This window comes from Homo sapiens, chromosome 9 (genome assembly GCF_000001405.40).
Source record: "Homo sapiens chromosome 9, GRCh38.p14 Primary Assembly".
Classification (NCBI taxonomy): Eukaryota; Metazoa; Chordata; class Mammalia; order Primates; family Hominidae; genus Homo; species Homo sapiens.
The window spans coordinates 82,491,497-82,512,345 of record NC_000009.12 but is presented as its reverse complement, the minus strand read 5'-3'; the positions used below and the strand labels follow the sequence as shown (position 1 = coordinate 82,512,345).

General features: G+C 36.1%; 1 long non-coding RNA gene across 1 annotated transcript in view; it reads right to left on the bottom strand.

The window, feature by feature from the left end:
• Positions 1–20,394, bottom strand: part of LOC107987087 (uncharacterized) — a 288,244-nt gene extending 267,850 nt beyond the window's left edge. The window contains exons 1-2 of the long non-coding RNA XR_001746782.2: positions 20,292–20,394; positions 15,488–15,631 (exon numbers count right to left, since the gene is read on the bottom strand). This is a non-coding gene — a long non-coding RNA (uncharacterized LOC107987087). The remainder of the gene's footprint in view (positions 1–15,487; positions 15,632–20,291) is intronic.
• Between the last annotated feature and the right edge of the window lie 455 nt (positions 20,395–20,849).

Here is a 20,849-nt window from a genome sequence, read left to right as displayed (position 1 = left end):
ATCATTTTCAGGGCTACTGCTAAAAATAGACACATTACTTTTATACAGCCGTGATTTTTACTTTTATATAGCTATATTATATAGCTGTGATCTGACCAGGTCTGTTTTTACCTTAAAGATACTTGTCACATCCCTCCCATAAAGATTACATCCTTGGCTCTTGGCATCTTATTGGCATATGAAAGTGCCACGAGAGGAACCACCTACAGCTGCAGTTCATAAGAGCCAGGTGAGAACAAGGCCTTTCAGGATCTGGGAACTGGTTGATCTCATTTCTTTCTTTCCCCCACAAGAATCCTTTTCATGGTAAAAACATTATGATTTCTTTTGGGGTAATTATTTCTTTGATTCTTGGGTAATTGCCCCAGTTTAATTATTGGCTTCCTTTCTTCACACGTTCCTCTATCTATTCCCTTTGTCTGCTGATTCGGCCATCACTCCCACAAAAAGCTCGCCAATGGGGTGCTAATAGACGTGATGCAAGCAAAGGCTTCAAATGCGCTTATGCTCTTATACTTTGCCATGGGAACAGCCTCTCCCACGTAGCCGCCACCCTGCTGCCTGGGACCCAGAATGAACTGTGTATGGAGTATATCTTTGCCATCTGCCCCACATCTTTAAGCAGAACCCAGCTTACAAGAGCTGATCACCAGCCTATCTGCAGGTAGGAAATACATTAGCATGATTTAAAGCCACTGAGTTTTGGAGTGGTTTGTTACATTCCAATAACTGATTGATTCAGTTTGTCAGTCAAGGTTTCAGGCCTTCCCCTTGCCAATAGGGAACATGTGACTCAATCTAGGCCAATCAGATCTTTTCCCCAGAATTACAAAAGGCTAATGAAGAGTAGAAACTGCCTCATCCCAGCAATCAGCCACTCCCTAAAAACTTGATGTATTAGTTCCTGATACATGGATCACTGAGGCTCTCCCCATACCTATTCTTTCCTTGTTTGTTCACCAAATGTCTCTTATGTTTTGTCGGTTCTTCGTATGTTTCTAATGAAGGTTTCTTATATCACTCCCTTATGTTCTCACGTATGTTTATATCCCAATCAATTGTTTCCTATTTAAGTTAGAGTCTTTTCTACTGTTTGCAACCATAAAATCTTAACTGTTATTGAGGGCCTCAAAGGGAAACAAAAGGGTGTCAAAAGGAAAAGGGTGTCAATTGCACAAATGGGGCAAAAGATAAGCTGGATCTTCCTGTACATTATAATTTTATTTATGCACCGGCCAGACACAGAGAGTGTGCACTGATAATTCAGAGATTTCTACGTGTCATCATGGATATTACATAACTTTTTAGAATGCCAAATATGTTCCATAAAAAACGTACAGAAACATAGGCTCTGGTAGATGTTGAAAAATCTTTTTCATCAGAACCATAAGTCTTTGCTTATTATTTTTTTAAAAAATAATATTATTTCACTAGTGTTGGGGGTACAGGCAGTGTTTGGTTGCATGAATAAGTTCTTTAGTGGCGATTTCTGAGATTTTGGTGTACCCATCACCTGAGCAGTGTACACTGTACCTAATGTATAGTCCTTTTTTCTCTCACCTCCCTCCCACCCTTCCCCCTGAGTTCCCAAAGCCCACTATATCATTCTTATGCCTTTTTGTCCTCATAGCTTAGCTCCCACTTGTAAGTGAGAAGATACAATGTTTGATTTTCCATTCTTGAGTTATTTCACTTAGAATAATGGTCCCCAACTTCATCCAGATTGCCGTGAATGCCTTTAGCTTGTTCCTTTTTAGGGCTGAGTGGTATTCCATGGTGTATATACATATGTGTGTATATAAAATATATATATATATAATATATATATATATAAAATATATATATATAATATATATATATAAAATATATATATATAATATATATATAAAATATATATATATAATATATATATAATATATATATATATAAAATATATATATATATATATACTATATTTTCTTTATTCACTTATTGGTCGATAGGCATTTAGGCTGGCTCCTTGTTTTTGCAATTGTGAACTGTGCTGCCATAAACATGTGTATGCAAGTGTCTTTTTCATATAATGACCTTTATTCCTCTGGGTAGATAACCAGTAGCGGGATTGCTGGATCAAACGGTTGTTCTACTTTTAGTTATTTAAGGAATCTCTATACTGTTTCCCATGGTGGTTGTACTAGTTTTACATTCCCACCAGCAGTGTAGAACTGTTCCCTTTTCACCACACCTATGTCAACATCCATTATTTTTTAATTTTTTAATCATGGCCATTCTTGCAAGAGCAAGGTGGCATCTCATTGTGGTTTTAATTTGCATTTCCCTGATGATTACTGATATTGAGCACTTTTTCATGTGTTTGTTGGCCATTTGTATATCTTCTTTTAATAATTGTCTACTCATATCCTTTGCCCACTCTTTGATGGGATTTTTTTTTCTTGCTGATTTATTTGAGTTCCTTGTAGATTCTGGATATCAGTCTTTTGCCAGGTGTATAGATTGAGACTATATTTTCCTACTCTGTGGGTTGTCTGTTTACTCTTCTGATTATTTCTTTTGCTGTGCAGAAGCTTTTTAATTTGACTAGATCCCATCTATTTATCTTTGTTTTTGTTTCTCTTGGTTTTGGATTCTTGGTCATGAACTCTTTGCCTAAGTCAATGTCTAGAAGAATTTTTCTGATGTTATCTTCTAGAATTTTTGTGGTTTCAGGTCTTAGATTTAAGTCTTTGATCCATCTTGAGTTGATTTTTATATCAGGTGAGGAATGAGGATCCAGTTTCATTCTTCTACACGTGGCTTGCCAATTATCCCAGCACTATTTGTTAAATAGGGTGTGCTTTCCTCACTTTATGCTTTTGTTTGCTTTGTCGAAAGTCAGTTGGCTGTTAGTATTTGGTTTTATTTCTGGGTTCTCTATTCTGCTCCATTGTTCTACATGCCTATATTTATGCCAGTACCATGCTGTTTTGGTAACCAAAGCCTTGTGGTATAGTTTGAAGTTGGGTAATGTGATGCCTCTGGATTTGTTCTTTTTGCTTAGTCTTACTTTGACTATGGGGGTTCTTTTTTGGTTCCATATGAATTTTAGGATTTTTTTTTCTAGTTCTATAAAGAATGATGATGGTATTTTGATGAGAATTGCATTGAATTTGTAGATGGCTTTTGGCAGTATGGTCATTTTCACAGTATTGATTCTACCCATCCATGAGCATGCAATGTGTGTCCATTTCTTTGTGTCATCTATGATTTCTTTCATCAGTGTTTTGTAGTTGTTCTTGTATGGATCTTTCACCTTCTTGGTTAGGTATATTTCTATGCATTTTGCTTTTTTGCAACTGTTGTAAAATGGGCTGAGTTCTTGATTTGATTCTCAGGTTGGTCGTTGTTGGTGTATAGCAATGCTACTAATTTGTGTACATTAATTTTGTCTCCTGAAACTTTACTGAATTCATTTATCAGATCTTGGAGCTTTTTGAATGAGTCTTTAGGGTTTCCTAGGCATATGATCATATCATTGGCAAACAGTGACAGTTTGACTTTCTCTTTACTGATTTGGATGCCCTTTAATTCTTTCTCTTGTCTGATATCTCTGGCTAGGACTTTCAGTACTACGTTGAATAGAAGTGGTGAAAGTAGGCATCCTTGTCTTGTTCCAGTTCTTAGGTCGGATGCCTTTAAGTTTTCTCCATTCAGTAAAATGTTGGCTGTGGATTTGTAATAGATGCCTTTTATTACCAAGAGGTATGTCCCTTCTATGCCAATTTTGCTGAGGATTTTAATCCTAAAGGATGGTGGATTTTGTCAAATGCTTTTTCTGCATCTATTGAGATGATCATATGATTTTTGTCTTTAATTCTGTTTATGTGGTGTTTCACATTTATTAACTTGTTTTTGTTAAACCAGCCCTGCATCCCTGGTATGAAACCCACTTGATCATGGTGGGTTATCTTTTTTATATACTGTTGGATTTGGTTAGCTAGTATTTTTGTTGAGGATTTTTACATCTATGTTCATCAGGGATGTTGGTTTGTAGTTTTCTCTTTCTGTTATGCCATTTCCTGATTTTGGAATTAGGGTGATACTGGCTTCTTAGAATGATTTAGGGAGGATTCCCTTTTTTCTTTCTTTGGCAATAGTTTCAGTAATATTGGTACCAATTCTTCTTTGAATGCCTCATAGAATTCAGCTGTGACTCCATCTCATCCTGAAACTTTTTTGTTGGCAATTTGTTTATTACTGTTTCAATCTCACCACTTGTTATTGGTCTGTCTACTTCCTCTTGATTCAATCTAGGAGGGTTGTATATTTCCAGGAATGTATCCATCTCCTCTAGATTTTCTAGTTTGTGCATGTAAAGGTGTTCATAGTAGACTTGAATGATATTTTGTATTTCTCTGATATTGGTTATAATATCTTCCATTTCACTTCTAATTGAGCTTATTTGGATCTTCTCTCTTCTTGGTTTATCTAACGGTCTATCAATTTTGATTATCTTTTCAAAGAACCAGCTTTTTGTTTCATTTATCTTTTGTATTTTTTTTGTTTGTTTTATTTAATTAGTTCTGCTCTGATCTTTTTTTTTTTTTCTTCCACTGAATTCGGGTTTGGTTTGTTCTTGTTTCTCCAGTTCCTTGAGGTGTGACCTTAGATTGTCTGTTTGTGCTCTTTCAGATTTTTTGATGTAAGCATTTAATACTATGAATGATCCTCTTAGCACTGCTTTTGCTGTGTCCCAGAGGCTTTGATAAGTTGTGTCACTATTATTGATCAGCTCAAAGAATTATTTAATTTCCTTCTTGATTTCATTGTTTACCCAAAGATCATTCAGGAGCAGATTATTTATTTTTCATGTATTTGTATAATTTTGAGTGTTCCTTTTTCAGTTAATTTCCAGTTTCATTCAACTGTGATCTTAGAAGACACTTGATATAATTTTGATTTTCTTAAGTTTATTGAGACTTGTTTTGTAACCTATCATACGGTATATCTTGGAGAATGTTTCATATGCTGATGAAAAGAATGTTTATTTTGCAGTTGTTGGGGAGAATGTTCTGTAAATATTTGCTAAGTCCATTTGTTTTGGGTTACAGTGTAAGTCCATTGTTTCTTTGTTGACTTTCTGTCTTGATGACCTGTGTAGTGCTGTCAGTGGAGTATTGAAGTCCCACATTATTATTCTGTTTCCATCTATCTCATTTCTTAGGTCTAGTAGTAATTGTTTTATAAATTTGGGAGTTCAAGTGTTAGGTGTGCATTTATTTAGGATTGTGACATTTTCCTATTGGACTAATATTTTTATCATTATACAATGTCCTTCTTTGTCTTTTTTAACTGTTGTTACTTTGAAGTATGTTTTGTCTGATATAAGAATAGCTAACAATCCTGCTCTCTTTTGGTGTCCATTTGCATAGAATAATGTTTTCCACCCCTTTACCTTAAGTTTATGTGAATCCTGATGTGTTGGGTGAGACTCCTGAAGACAGCAGATATTTAGTTGGTAGATTCTTATCCATTCTGCCACTCTGTATATTTTAAGTGGGGCATTTAGGCCATTTACATTCAACATTAATATTGAGATGTGAGGTACTATTCTACTCATCATGTTAGTTGTTGCCTGAATACCTTGTTGTTTTTTTCTTTTTTCTTTGTGTTAAGGTTTTATAGACCCTGTGAAATTTATCTTTATGGAGGTTCTATTTTGGTGCATTTTGAGGTTTTGTTTCAAGATTTAGAACTCCTTTTAGCATTTCTTGCAGTGTTGGCTTGGTTGTGGCAAATTCTCTCAGCATTTATTTGTCTGAAAAAGACTTTATCTCTCCTTCATTTATGAAGCTTAATTTTTTTGGATACAACATTCTGTTTGTTTTGTTGTTAATTATTTTGTTTGAAGAGGCTAAAGATAGGACTCCAGTCTTTTCTGGCTTGTTGGGTTTCTACTGAGAAATTTTCTGTTAATCTGATAAGTTTTCCTTTATAGATTACCTGAAACTCTTGCCTCACAGTACTTAAGATTCTTTCCTTTGTCTTGACTTTAGATAACCTCATGACTATGTTACTGGGTAATGATCTTTTTGTGATAAATTTCCCAGGTTTTCTTTGAGCTTCTTGTATTTGGATGTCTAGATCTCTAGCAAGGCCAGGGAAGTTTCCCTCAATGATTCCATCAAATATGTTTTCCAAACTTTGAGATTTTTCTTCTGCCTCAGGAACACCATTTATTCTTAGGTTTGGCCATGTAACATCATCTCAGATTTCTTGGAGGCTTTATCCTTTTATTATTATTTTTTTTATTTTTTTGAGACAGAGTCTTACTCTGTCATCCAGGCTTTAGTGCAATGGTGTGATCTTGGCTCACTGCAACGTCTGCCTCCCAGGTTCAAGCAATTCTCATGCCTCGACCACCTGAGTAGCTGGGATCCCAGGCTTGTGCTACCACACCCAACTAAGGTTTGGATTTTTAGTAGAGACAGTTTCACCATGTTGCCCAGGCTGGTCTTGAACTCCTAAGCTTGAGTGATCTGTCTGTCTTGGCCTCCCAGAATGCTGGGATTACAGGCATGAGCCATCACATCTGGCCTTTTTTAAAAATTATTTTTGTTTGTCTTTATCTGATTGGGTTAATTCAAAAGCCTCGTCTCCAAGCTCTGAAGTTCTTTCTTCTACTTGTTTGATTCTATTGTTGAAACTTTCCAGTGCATTTTCTATTTCTTTAAGTGTGTCTTTCATTTTCGGAAATTGTGATTGCTTTTTCTTTTTGATATCTATTTCTCTGCAGCATTTTCCATCCATACCCTGTGTTGTTTTTTAAATTTCTTTAAGTTCCTTTTCACCTTTCCCTGTATCACTTTGAATAGCTTAATAATCAACATTCTGAATTTTTTATCTGGCAATCCAGAGATTTCTTCTTGGTTCGGATCCATTGTCACAGAGCTAGTGTGGTCTTTTGGTGGTGTTATAGAAATTTGTTTTGTCATATTACCAATGTTACTTTTCTGATTCCTTCTCATTTGTGTAGACTATTTCAGTGGAAAAATCTGGAACTCAAGGGCTGCTCTTCAGACTCTTTTGTCCCATGGGCTGGTCTCTTGATGCAGTGTACTCCCACTTCCCCTACAGATGGGGCTTCCTGCAAGCCTGACTACAGTGATTGTTGTTGCTCTTCTGGGTCTAGCCACTCAGCAGGGCTACCAGGCTCTGGGCTGGTGTTGAGGAATGTCTGCAAAGAGTTCTGTGCTGTGATCCATCTTCAGTTCTCCCAGCCATGGATACCAGCACCTGCTCTGGTGGAGGTGGCAGGAGAGTGAAGTAGACTCTGTGAGAGTCCTTGGTTGTACATATGTTTAGTGTGTTGGCTTTCTTGGATGCTGATTCTGCTAGCAGTAAAGTTGTCATGTGGACAGATTCAGGACCACTGGTTAGCCAGGATGTTGCAGACAGTGGAATTATCTGTTGTTTTTCTCCTTCCTTGGAGCAGGGTTGTTCTGTCATGAGTTGCTGTAACGTCCTGAGTTGGTGGTTGGCCAGCAGGTGGTGCTTTCAAGAGAGCACCAGAGTTTTTGCATGTCTCGTGGAATTTGTAGTGGCTTGAGGCTTCTTTCAAAGGATCTGTGAATTATTTTGGTTTCCCTGGTCTGCTCCTGTGGTGCTTCCTGGAACAAAATTTCATGGTGTGAGTCTCCACATGATGTTCTGTCCTGTCCAAGTGGGAGCTGCATGTCAGCCCTGTCCCTATCCGCCATCTTTCCAGAACTGCCCTACAACTCACTTCCAAGAATCTTGAGAAAATCTTGGCCTAACTCACAACATGAAGGGTGTTTGTTACCTAGCCCCTTTCTCACATTAAACATACACTTGTCATGAAAGAGAGATAGAGATTCTGAATCTATTTTTCTTGTAAATTTTTACTAATAAGCAGATCTATTTAGGTAAAAATATTCTGAATTTTTATATAGAATTTCAGAAATCAAAAAATTCAGTGTCCTGCTTACAAGCAACTATTATTTTTTAATGACTTTTCTACAGTAACTCCTAAACTCAAGAGGCAAACAAGACATGGTCTATCTTGACAGTCCCATTGGCTGTTGAGATGAGAAAGGTCTTGAATAACACCTGACATTATACTCTATGTTTGTTAATATTAGGAAACCACTGTTTCTTCAATTTACATTTTCCCCTTTTTGCAACAGCCTCATGTTAAAGAAGTAACATAAGTTTAATTATGCTAAATGAAATAAGCCAGTCACAGAAGGACAAATACTGTATGATTCCATGTATATATATGAGGTTGGTAAAATAGTCAAACTCATAGAAACAGAGAGTGGAATGCTGGTTGCCAGGGAATAAGGGGGAAGGAGAAACAGGGAGTTGCTGTTCAATGGGTAAAGTTTTAGTTGTGCAAGATGAGTAAGTTCTAGAGATCTGCTGTATATTGTGGCCTTAGTAAACCATACCGTATTGTGCCCTAAAAAATTTGCTGAGGTTAGATCTCATGTTATGTGTTCTTACCATAAATCAATCAATCACAGATTGGGGCAGAAGGTGATCTGGATCTTCCTGAACATTTTAACTTTACTTATGAATGGGGCAGACACTGAGATTGAGCATTGATAATTCAGAGATTTATTCATGTCCTCATGGATATTACATAACTTTTTATAATGCCAAATATGTACCATCAAAAATGTGTAGGAACATAGGCCCTGACAGATGTTGAACACTCTTTTTCATCAGAATCATGAATCTTTGTTTCCATGAATCTTGAAAAAAAGACTGCCTAAGATCTTTGAAATGAATATATACAACATAAAACAAATCCATCATAATTAAAAAGCGACTCAAAGGAAATAAACTTCTAGAAGGGAAAAAATAAAAGCAGCCGCTAGACCCCACACCACACCCATAAACTGTTGCACAACTGTTACCACCTCCAGTGATGATGTACTGCCAAACCAAAGACCAAGGTATTCCTAGGATGATATGCTAAATTCCTTACCCAGGCATCCCTGTAGATCCTGTGCATTACAAAAAAAGAGGAAAATTGGTTTATCTCCATGGACAAAGAGTTGGTAGAAAAGAAAAATTTTTAAGGCATGTGTCTGCTGGCGGAGCTCTAGGTAGTATCCTTGGGAATTCTTGCCCTTCCAAAAGATTCTTTGGGGTTATATTGACAGCTTATCTCCAGAACACAAAGAGAGTGTCTGGAAAACACAAAAACTATCAATAAGTAGCTATCACTTTATTGAGAAAATGGAAAATGTGGTAACAAAATGGAATAATTTTGTTCAGAAGCCCTAAAGTTTGCTTTTACTCCATTGAGTGTATAAAAATATGTAAATTGAATTCTCAAGCAATCACTAGGATGCTTCTTTTTGCTTTCTGTGCACCAATTGTGAATTTCAGATGCAGTAAATACCAGTGAGTCCCACAGTTTGGATTGGAATTATTTGATGAATATGCTTATTACCTTGTGAAGCTTGCTAAGGGAGATAATTTATATTTCAGTTACAAACAAGTGTGCAGGAATGGATGGATTCTACAGTAACACCACAACCATGGATATTCGAGCTACCTCACTGAACAAATGTTTATTAAGCCTAATATCTGTTATGTGACATGTCCTGTGCTAAACAATGGGTGCCCATAGATGAATAAAATATTATCCCTTCCTTTTGGGTCTTATTCCCTAATGAGGAGGAATTCCAGAGTTTAAACTTAATAAACGGATTGTTTTCAATTCTATAATGGAGATATAGAGGTTTCTGACTCATATACCCAACTGTTTTCTTGGAAGTATAATACAATGGTTATGAGCATAGTCTTGAGATTTGCACTGACTTGGACTTGCATCTAAACTCCACCTCTTACAAACTGAGTGACTTGGCATGTTATGAGCTTCTGTTTTATTGACTTTAAAATGAGGACAAAATGTTAGCTACTTCACAGGTTGTTATGACAAGTAATTGAGATCATTCACGTAAAAAAACCTTGCACAGAGTAAATCTCCAATAAAAATTAGCTCAGATTATTACTACATTCCAGGCTAACACTTGGGTGTGCACCATTAAGGATCTTGCAAGAGAGTGTAAGAGACATCCTCCTCTGTAAATAGCTCCATTCACAGAGATGTCACTGTTCTCTCCCTTAAGAAAACATTGAGTATTTCCCCTTTGCCACACCATGATCTTTGATCTGGATTGGAAATACTCATTTTCATTTTATAGGACCCTTACAAAAAATATAAGTCATATAACTAATAAATTATGTCTTATATTAATAAGATTATAAATAAAAGATAAAACATATATAGAGCCTTATATAAAATGGCCCTATAATTAGCTGAGATAAGACAGAGGAGGCATAATAGGAATTCATAAATTTTCTCTTTGGTTATAAGGTTTCTTTCTTTGTTTACTTTAGTAGTGAGGTGTAGCATACATACTATAAAGTATGCAAGTCTTTTATGTACAGTTCAATAAGTTTTACTTATGTGCATACCTATTGACCACTTTCCAGATCAAACACCCTTTCTCACGTACCCTTCCAATAATTACTTCCTCACCACACCCTTTCTCACGTACCCTTCCAATAATTACTTCCTCACCAAATGTAACCACTCTTTTGATTTCTATATATGTGTGTGTGTATATATATATATATATGTTTTGCCTGTTTCAGAACTTCACATAAGTAGAATCAAATATTATGTACACATTTATCTCTGCTCTATCATTCAACATTATGTGATATTCATTCAGGTTGCATGTTGGAGTACTCTTGTTTTTTTCATTAGGTTTGATTCTTTTGGTAATTTTCTATGGGCACATTAATTTTATCTACAAATAATGGCAACTGTAGTTTTCTTCTACATTACTGATGCTTGTTTCTTTTTGTTCATTTTTCTTATCTTATTGCAGTGGATAGAACATTCAGTATAATATTAAATAGAAGAGTTAAAAGCAAGACATTCTTATGTCATTCTCAGTTACAGAAAGAAAGCTTTTAGTTATTTATTTTAATATTATTGCCATTAAATATTATTTTGGTATCAATTTCTGGTAGGTACTCTGGCACATTAAGAATACCAGGTATTTTATTCTGAAGGATTGTTATCCTAAGTAACTGCTTTTTAAAAATCTGTTGTGATGGTCACATTAGACTTTTCCACCCTTTTTTAGTATAACAAATAACATTTATTTCTTCTTCTATTATTACGCCAATTTTGTATAACTGGAATAAAGCCTACCTAGACACAATATATTGCTCTTTTTTTGTAATCCTGGGTAGAATTTACTAATTTTTTATTTTAAAATTTTGCATCTTTTTTGATGAGAGATTTGGCCATTACCACCAAGAAATTTTAATAATGTTCTCTGGTGTTAAGGTCATGCTGGCCTTATAAAATGAACCACAGCAGTTCACAGAGGGAAATTTATAGGTCAAAATGCATGTATGCTTGTATTACAAAAGGATAAAGCCTGAAAATCAAAGATTAAATGACCACATAAAGGAACTAGTAAATAAACAGCAATTTAAAGTCATAGAAGAAATAAAATATTTAAGAGATGTAATCTATGAAATAGAAAACAAAATGAAGTAGAAAAATAAAGAAGGCCAAAGTTTATTCTTCAAAAATAAAAAAATTGATAAACCTCTATAAAGATTGACAGGCACAAAATAGAAAAAAGTCACAAATTACTATAACATGCTGATAAAAGAGAATATTCCTACAAAGTATAATTTAAAAGATAATAGGAATATATAATTTTAAATATTATACCAATAATTTTAAAATTTAGAAGAAATGGACAAATTCCTTTTTAAAAGTTAACTATCAAAATTGATGAAATAATCCAATTTTCCTTATATTGTTGATGAATTGAATATGAGTCTAAAATTTTCTTGCAAAGAGTGTTTCATGCCTAGATAAATCCTCTGGTCAATTTTTGCAAACATATAAGAAAGAAATCACACTATTGAAAAGTCAACCATAACTTTAATGTTTCTCCTTTAAAAGTAATGTATCTTTTTTCCTATAGATGCTTTTAGGATTTGCTCTTTGTTTTGAGCTTTCAACAGTTTTACTATGATGTATCTAGGTGTGATGTTCTTTGATTTGCCCTGCTTTTGATTCATAGATATGCTTGAATCAGTAGACTTCCAGCAATTTTAGATAATTCTAGGCTATGATCTCTTCAGAGAATCTTCTCTCCCTTTCTATCTCGCTTCTTTTTCTGGACTCCAATAACACATAAGTTTAATCTTTTTACTGTGTACCTTATATCTCCTATGGTTTTAAAGCATCTCTCTTTCTCTTTCTTGTCTCTCTTTTTTTCTGTCTCTTTCTTTCTCTCCTTCAATCTAAATATTTTCTACTAACCTATCTTCTTATATATGAATCCTTTTCTTATGAGTCTAATCTGCTGTTAAATTACATTAATTATAAAGATTCCTATTTTGTTATTTTTATAGTTTCTTAATTTGCTGTGCAATTATCCACCTTCCCTATTTTCCTTGCACACATTAATCATAATTATTTTAATGTTCATATCACTTAGTCCCAACGGCTGCATGACTTATGGATCTGTTTCTATTTTCTCCCGATTTCTGTAGATTTGGTTATTTTTCCTGGCATCCTGGAAGTCTTTGAATGAATGACAAATAACATGTATGAAAATCCTAGTGGTCCTAGGTAATGTTATCTACCCTAGAGGGAATTTCATTTTTATTTGTCAGACATTAGAATACAAGTATTTCTCCTTGATCCAGTAAAGACTGGTCTATTTCTGGTTTTCTAGCACTCCTAGGGAGTAAGCTTTCAGGGTTTGCCACTAAAACCCAAGAGTGTTTATTAAGGCCTTTAGCAAATCCCAAAGCTGTGATAATCTCTGCTTAGCTTTTTAATAGTTGCTTTATACTTATTTTCTTAGAATCTTGCTCTGCTTAATTACTGATTAGTGGGTCTCAAAATGTCTTGAGGGGAAATTTCCTACACTTTTCTATGGTTCCCTTTTCTCTAAATCTTGGTCCCTCATGTTCTGGCTGTTTAGGTTGGTCTCCAGTGCCTTCAAAAACAGCATTGGTTTTGGTGTTTGTTTGGGTTTTATTTTGATTGTTTTTGTAGATGGTTTTGTGCCGTAGCCAACTTTCAAAATTCTCTTATAGAACAGTGGGTCTGATACAAATTACTCCATCACAGCTGGAAGCAGACTGGTCTTTAAATATGTTTTCATATTATCTTATCTAGACAAACCATGAGAAAATCAGGGCAGCTGTAACAAGGACTGTTTTCCAGATGAAGAAATAGAAACTCAGAAGCATTAATGATTCTCCCAGATGGTCAGTAAGCTGCAGGGCCAAGTCAGTCTTAAAATCCTTGTCATCAGCTCTTCATCATCGGCACTTTCTACCTTACTAGTGTTTACCAAAATTCTGTCTCTGATAGACCACTTAATGGTCTTTTGGAGGAACTGTGATTACTAATTTTTGTGAAAAAATATCATAATCTAAATAGCAAGTATAAAACATGATAGAAAATATACTTTTCATTAATATTACCATTTCTTACCAAGGATTGGGATGGTTTTGTTTGGCATCCTCCACAGAGATAAAAATCACTCTTTTAGCTCAAACCACAAGCTCTGTGTCTTTTCTTTGCTTAGTATTTACATCATCTATGCTACATTCTGCCTTTGCAATACTATTCAACAGTGAGAATGCTAGCACGTGTTAGGAGACTTTGTGGGAGAATGAGAGATATTTCTATTGTACTTTAAACCAAAGCTTGTGGACAGAATACACTGAATATAACATTCAGCTCTCTTTCACCAATGATGTCAGTGAAAAAACTGTAAACAAGTAACAAAGGTTTCAAAGTTTCAAATTGGAAGATGCAGTAAATGAAGTATTACCACTACCCTTATTTATACAAACAAATAGAAAATATTTGTTTATGTTTCATTGATTATGTGAATGTAATCTTGAAATCAAGTCAAGAAAATATTGATTGATTTGTCTGATGAGTTAAGCAAATATACTGCTAGTTATATGACTTGAATGAACCATTTCAAGTAATAGAAAAGGTCTTTACTGGAATTATCAATATTATGAAGACATTTTTAATTTTATTATTTCAAGTATTCATGTACACAATTTCCATCTTGAAATGCAAATTAAAACTACAGTGATGTCCTTCTACAAATCCATGCGACTGAATAAATTTAAAAGTCTGACAATACCAAGTATTGGTGAAGATATGAAGCAAGAAGCTGTTATGCAGGATTGGTATGAATGAAAATTGGCTTGTGATTACTGTATTAATTTACATTCCAAACAATAGTGTATGAGGTGCCCCTTCTCAACATTCTCACCAACACTTATCTTTAAACCACTTTAGAAAAGTGTCATTTCCCATACAATATTCTATGACCAAACAATAACAATTCCATTTCTGCGTATATACCTAGAAAAATGTATTCACATACCTAGAAACATGTAAAAGAAGGTTCATGGTAGCAATTTTTGCAATAGCTGAAAATAATTCTAACATTCATGAAGCTATCAGAATGTTAGGATGGATAAATAAATTGTGGTTATTAATATGGTAGAATTTTATACTACAGGAAAAGTGAACTCACTAGAGCTAGGTACAATAAACCTAATTTAATCTTACAAACATATTATTTATTGAGAGACTTTTTTAAATTATGAATTTATATAAAGTTTAAAACCAGTTAATATTTGACATTTTATTTAGGGCCACATATAAAAGCAATAAAAGTACAAAGAATCTCAAGAATGAAAGTAATGTGCATATCAAGACAATGTCTTAATCTAAGAGGGATAAAGAGAATGTGATTGAAAAGGGATACCCTGGGGCAAGGGGTTGCTTCTACAGTGTAGACAACAGTCTATTCCCTTATTTAGGTAGTAGTTAAAAGGATATTTACTTTCTGATTATTCATTACATTGTGCATTTATTTCCTATGCATCTTTCTCTTCATGTGTTGTATTTCACCATTTAAAAAGTTATAAAAGTTTCCTTTTGGAAAACAGCATACTTCACTTTGGAAAAGAAGAATCTCATTTTCAGGGGAGTAGGCTAAAAAGACACATACTGCCATCTGATTTTATCTACAAATTTCTGTACTGTATTTCCTTCAACACCAAATCAAGATTAGTAAGCAGACTCTTGTGTGGAGACTCATATTATGAACTTTTGCTCCAAGAACTACCACAGGAATATACCAGGAAAGCCAAGAGACCCTTTGAAGGAAGTGCATTGCTCCCACAGGCTCCAAGAAACTTGAAAAACTGAGAGTGTCCAAAGTGTGAAAGTGTGAAAGAGGGATGATCCATCCCCAAACACACACCCTCAGTGGGGAACCTGAAGGTCCAAATCACGGGAGAAAGATCCAAACTTACCTGGAGCTGAGACAAATTTAAAGATCCGATCTTACCTGGAGCTGAGACAAATTTAAAGATCCAACCTTACCTGGAGCTGAGACAAATTTAGAGAGCCGAGTGAGTACAAGGGTAGAAGAAGCAGCAGGAAGAGCTCTGTGGGCTCTCTTGGTCTCCAGTGAAGTCATTTCTGACTTTGTCTCACAGAGGTCCTTGAGGAGGGCTGCCAGAGGAACTGGGAAAAGACCGCAGAGGGAAGGAAACCTCAAATGAACTTTGTAACAGTTTCAACCGAACGCAAAGATTCCTGGACAGAACTTGTAGGGGGGAGGGTGAATTGGGTGTGCTGACATGGCACAGAAGCTGGGGGAGGTGGGGAGGTGTGAAACCTGAAAGTTCTGCTTGCTTTATCAGCCAGGAGGCTGGTAGTCTGAGGCAAGTTCTCATTCCTGTTCACCGCTGCCTGGAAATGAACTCAGTGCTGTTGGCGGGTGCACAGTGGGAGTGGGACTCGCCTTTTGGGCTGCATGGGACCTGGGTGAGGCCTGTAACTGCTGGTTTTCCCCCACTTCCCTGGCAACCTTCATGACATAGCAGAGGCGGCCATAATCCCCCTGGGAACATTACTCCATTGGCCTGGGAACCATGCCTCCATCCCCCACAGCAGCCATAGCAAGCCTCATCCAAGGAGAGTCTGAGCTCAGACACACCTAACCCTGCCCCCATCTGATGATCTTTCTCTGCTTGCCCTGGTAGCCAGAAGCCAAAACACATAATCTCTTGGGAGCTCTAGGGCCCTGCCCACTGCCTGATCCTTCCTATACTACCGCAGCTGATGCTCTCTTAAAAGCTCCACCTGGGCCAGGCTCCATGGCTCACGCCTGTAATCCCAGCAGGCGGATCGCCTGAGGTCGGGACCAGCCTGGGCAGCATGGTGAAACCCCATCTCTACTAAAAATACAAAACTTAGCCGGGCTTGGTGGCAGGCACCTGTAATCCCAGCTACTTGGGAAGCTGAGGCAGGAAAATTGCTTGAACCCGGGAGGCGGATGTTGCAGTGAGCCGAGATTGTGCCATTACACTCCAGCCTGGACAAGAGAGTGAGACTCCGTCTCAAAAAAAAAAAAAAAAAAAAAAAGCCCCACTTCCTGTCAGGAGGCCAACCAGCACAAAACTAGTATAGTAAGCAAAACTACAAACTAAGTACCCTCACAGAGTCCATTTAACCCCCTTGCCACCTCCACTGGAGGAGTTGCTGGTATCCATGGGTGACAGACATGAAGACTGTTCACACCACAGGACTCTGTGTAGACACCCATCAGTACCAGCCTGGAGCTCAGTAACTCTGCCGGGTGGATAGATCCAGAAGAGAAATAACAGTTACTATAATTCAGCTCCCAGGAAGCCACATCCCTATGGGAAGGGGGAGAACACTACATCAAGGGAGCATCCTGTGGGACAAAAGAATCTGAACAGCAGCCCTTGAACCCCAGATCTTCCCTCTGACATAGTCTACCCAAATTAGAAGGAACCAGAAAAATGATTCTGGTAATATCACAAGTCAAGGTTCTTTAACACCCCTAAAAGATCACACTAGCTCACCAGCAATGGATCTAAACCAAGAAGAAGTCTCTGAATTACCGAAGAATTCAGACGGTCAATTATTAAGCTAATCAAGGAGGCATCAGAGAAAGGTGAAGTCCAATTTAATAAAATCAGAAAAAGATGCAATATATGAAGGGAAAAATCTTCAGTGAAACAGATAGCATAAATAAAAAACAATCACAACTTCTGGAAATCAAGGACACATTAGAGAAATGCAAAATGCACCGGAACATCTCAGAAATAGAATCGAACGAGCAGAAGAAAGAACCTCAGGGCTCAAAGACAAGGTTTTTCAATTAACCCAATCCATCAAAAATAAAGAAAAAAGAATTTTAAAAAAAGCCTCCAAGAAGTTTGGGACTATATTAAGTGTTCAAACCTAAGAATAATTGGTGTTCTGGAGGAATAAGAGAAATCTAAAAGTCTGGAAAACATATTTGAGGAAATAATCGAGGAAAACTTCCCCAGCCTTGCTAGAGATCTGGACATCCAAACACAAGAAGCTCAACGAACACCTGGGAAATTCATTGCAAAAAAAATCATTGCCTAGGCACATAGTCATCAGGTTATCTAAAGTCAAGACAAAGGAAAGAATCTTAAGAGCTATGAGGCAAAAGCATCAGGTAATCTATAAAGGAAAGCCTATCAGATTAACAGCAGATTTCTCAGCAGAAACTGTACAAGCTAGAAGGGATTGAGGCTCTATCTTCAGCCTCCTTAAACAAAACATTTATTAGCCAAGAATTTTGTATCCAGTGAAACTAAGCTTCATAAGTGAAGGAAAGATAGTCTTTTTCAGAAAAACAAATGCTGAGAGAATTTGCTACTACCCAGTCAGCATTACAAGAACTGCTAAAAGGAGTTCTAAATCTTGAAATGAATCCTCAAAAACACCAAAATAGAAACTTCTTAAAGCATACGTCTCACCTATAAAACAAAAACACAATAAATAAATAAAAAAACCAAAGTATTCAGGCAACAAATAGCACAATGAATAGAATAGTACCTTACATCTCAATACTAATGTTGAATATAAAGGGCCCAAATGCTCCACTAAAAAGACACAGAATGGCAGGATGGATAAGAATCCACCAACCAAGTATCTGCTGCCTCACCTAACACATAAGGACTCACATAAACTTAGGGTAAAGGGATGGAAAAAGATATTCTATGCAAATGGACACCAAAAACAAGCAGGAGTAGCTACTCTTAGATCAGACAAAACAAACTTTAAGGCAACAGCAGTTAAAAATGACAAAGAGGGATATTCTATAATGATAAAAGGATTTGTCCAATGGGAATGTATCACAATCCTAAATATACATGCACCTAACACTGGAGCTCCCAAATTTATAAAACAATGATTACTAGACCTAAAAAATGAGATAGACAGCAACACAATAATAGTGGAGACTTCAATACCCCACTGACAGCACTAGACAGGTAACCAAGACAGAAAGTCAACAAAGAAACAATGGATTTAAACTATACCCTAGAAGAATTGGACTTAACAGATTCTTACAGAACATTTTACCCAACAACTACAGAATATACATTCTATTCATCAGCACATAAAACATACTCCAAGATAGGCCAGATAGACCATATGATGGGCCACAAAACAAGTCTCAATAAATTTAAGAAAATCAAAATTATATCAAGTACTCTTTTAGACCACCGTGGAATAAAACTGGAAATCAACTACAGAAAGAACCCTCAATGCCATACAAATACATGGAAATTAAACCTGCTCCTGAATGATTGTTGGGTCAACATTGACATCAAGATGGAAATTAAAAAATTCTTTGAACTGAATGATAGTGACACAATCTATCAAAACCTCTCGGCTACAGCAAAGGCGGTGCTAAGAGGAAAGTTCATAGCATTAAATGCCTACATCAAAAAGTCTGAAAGAGCGCACATAGACAATCTAAGCTCACACCTCAAGGAAGTAGAGAAACAAGAACAAATAAAACCCAAACCCAGCAGAAAAAAAGAAATAACAAAGATCAAAGCAGAGCTAAATGAAATTGAAACAGAAAAAAAATACAAAAGATAAATGAAATAATAAGTTGTATATTCCCACTTTTGTTGGCAATAAAATCCAGCAATTATTTTTAAAGTATTTTTATAGAAAAAATCATTTCTATGGAAAAAAATCATTTTTAAAGCCTGAGAAGTACATAGTACATGCATGCAAAGCTCTGAAGACCTCATGCTACTATTTAATCAAGTTTTATAAAAGGCGATTTACTACACACTAGGTTCAAAATGATCGCTGGCCTTATTAAATAAAATTTTCCTTTGTTTATTTTTGGATTTCCTATTTTCACTTTTATATCCAGATGCTTCTAGCTGTTTTTCCCTTGTCTAAGCACATACATAATCACATTCTATATTCATTCTGAATCCTGGTCACTAAAGATGATTATAGTGGTGGTATATTTCTGTCAATACTTTTATAACTGTCTTTATGTTTTCATAAACTACTTTTGTGTGATTGCTCTTCTTATAAAATTAGAAATTGAATAATAAATTCCAATAGTGACAATGTAAAAAAGTCAAATGTAACAAATGCAAATGGTAACATGCTAATAATATGAAAATAAGTTGACCTAAGCACACTGCATTTGATTAACCGAATGGAAGCTGAGACCTGATCAGCAGAGTTCTTGCAGCACGTGGGCCACTTTTAGGATGCTAATGACAATTAAAACCAGAGCATACATCAGTGAGAATTACATTTATCTTATGTTTTAAATGTGTTAAATATTTGTGAATGAAGGGTTTTAAGTTTCCTTTTTCCTCTGAAATTCATAAACGATTTGCCCCAAAGCCACCAGAGGACAGGAGTGATTTATGGACCACACTTTAAGAAACGCTGCTTTGTGTTCTGCTGTGATCTTCGAAACCAAACCCAAAACTTTCAAAACCCATCTAGCCAGTTTTAGGACCCATGAAAATCTAATTAGCAATTCAGTTCAAAATGCCTCATTTCTTAGCTTGCTCTGTGACCAATTAAAAAAAAATGTTTTGCCCAAAACAATTATGAAAGTTATGGCTAGCATTTTCCAAGACTCAAATTTAGATCTCAGAGCTCCCCTTTATTTTCCGCTACAGTCTTGGGCTTACAATCACCCCATGTACTAACAACACTTTCAGACAGAGGAACCTAGTGAAGGGAGACAGCTTCACTAAGGGATTTCTGGATGCTGAAGTTCTGGGGATACCTTCTCTGCAATGCAGAGCTTTTAGTGAGAGAATAACATGTGAAAAGTCAGAATACTTACTTCAGGAGCATAGCTACGAGCTGGGAAGCTCTAAGAGTTGAAACCCAGACACCAGATCTTGTTCTCCTGACATTTGTGAAATTTTTCAATTTTATCATATTGCCTGAAATGAACAAATGAAATGAAAAGATTCTTTGGGGCTGATTTCCATGCTACTTTAAGGGCAAATAGCCTGAAATGATTATGAGGTCATTCATACCTCATTGCAAATTATTTTGGTCACCAGGAATTCCTTTTGATGACAACAATGTATTTTGATTAAGATGAATGAAGCATCCTATACTTGACAACAGGAAAGGAGGGTTTCATAATAAAACAGTTTAGGGAAACATGAAACTGCTTGGACCCGCAAGGTGACTGTGAGAAAGCGAGAAAAAAATTATAGATGAGTTTCTGGAAGAGGGTACCAAACCAATTTTGTTTCTTTCAGGTTGTCGCATGGGATAACCTTACCAGTAATGTGAGAAGAAACTGTTTTTTCCCCTTCTTCTCATTCCTTCTCTCTTTGGGCTCATATTCCTAGACTCCCATATAAATGGCAGACAGAATTGCATCTTA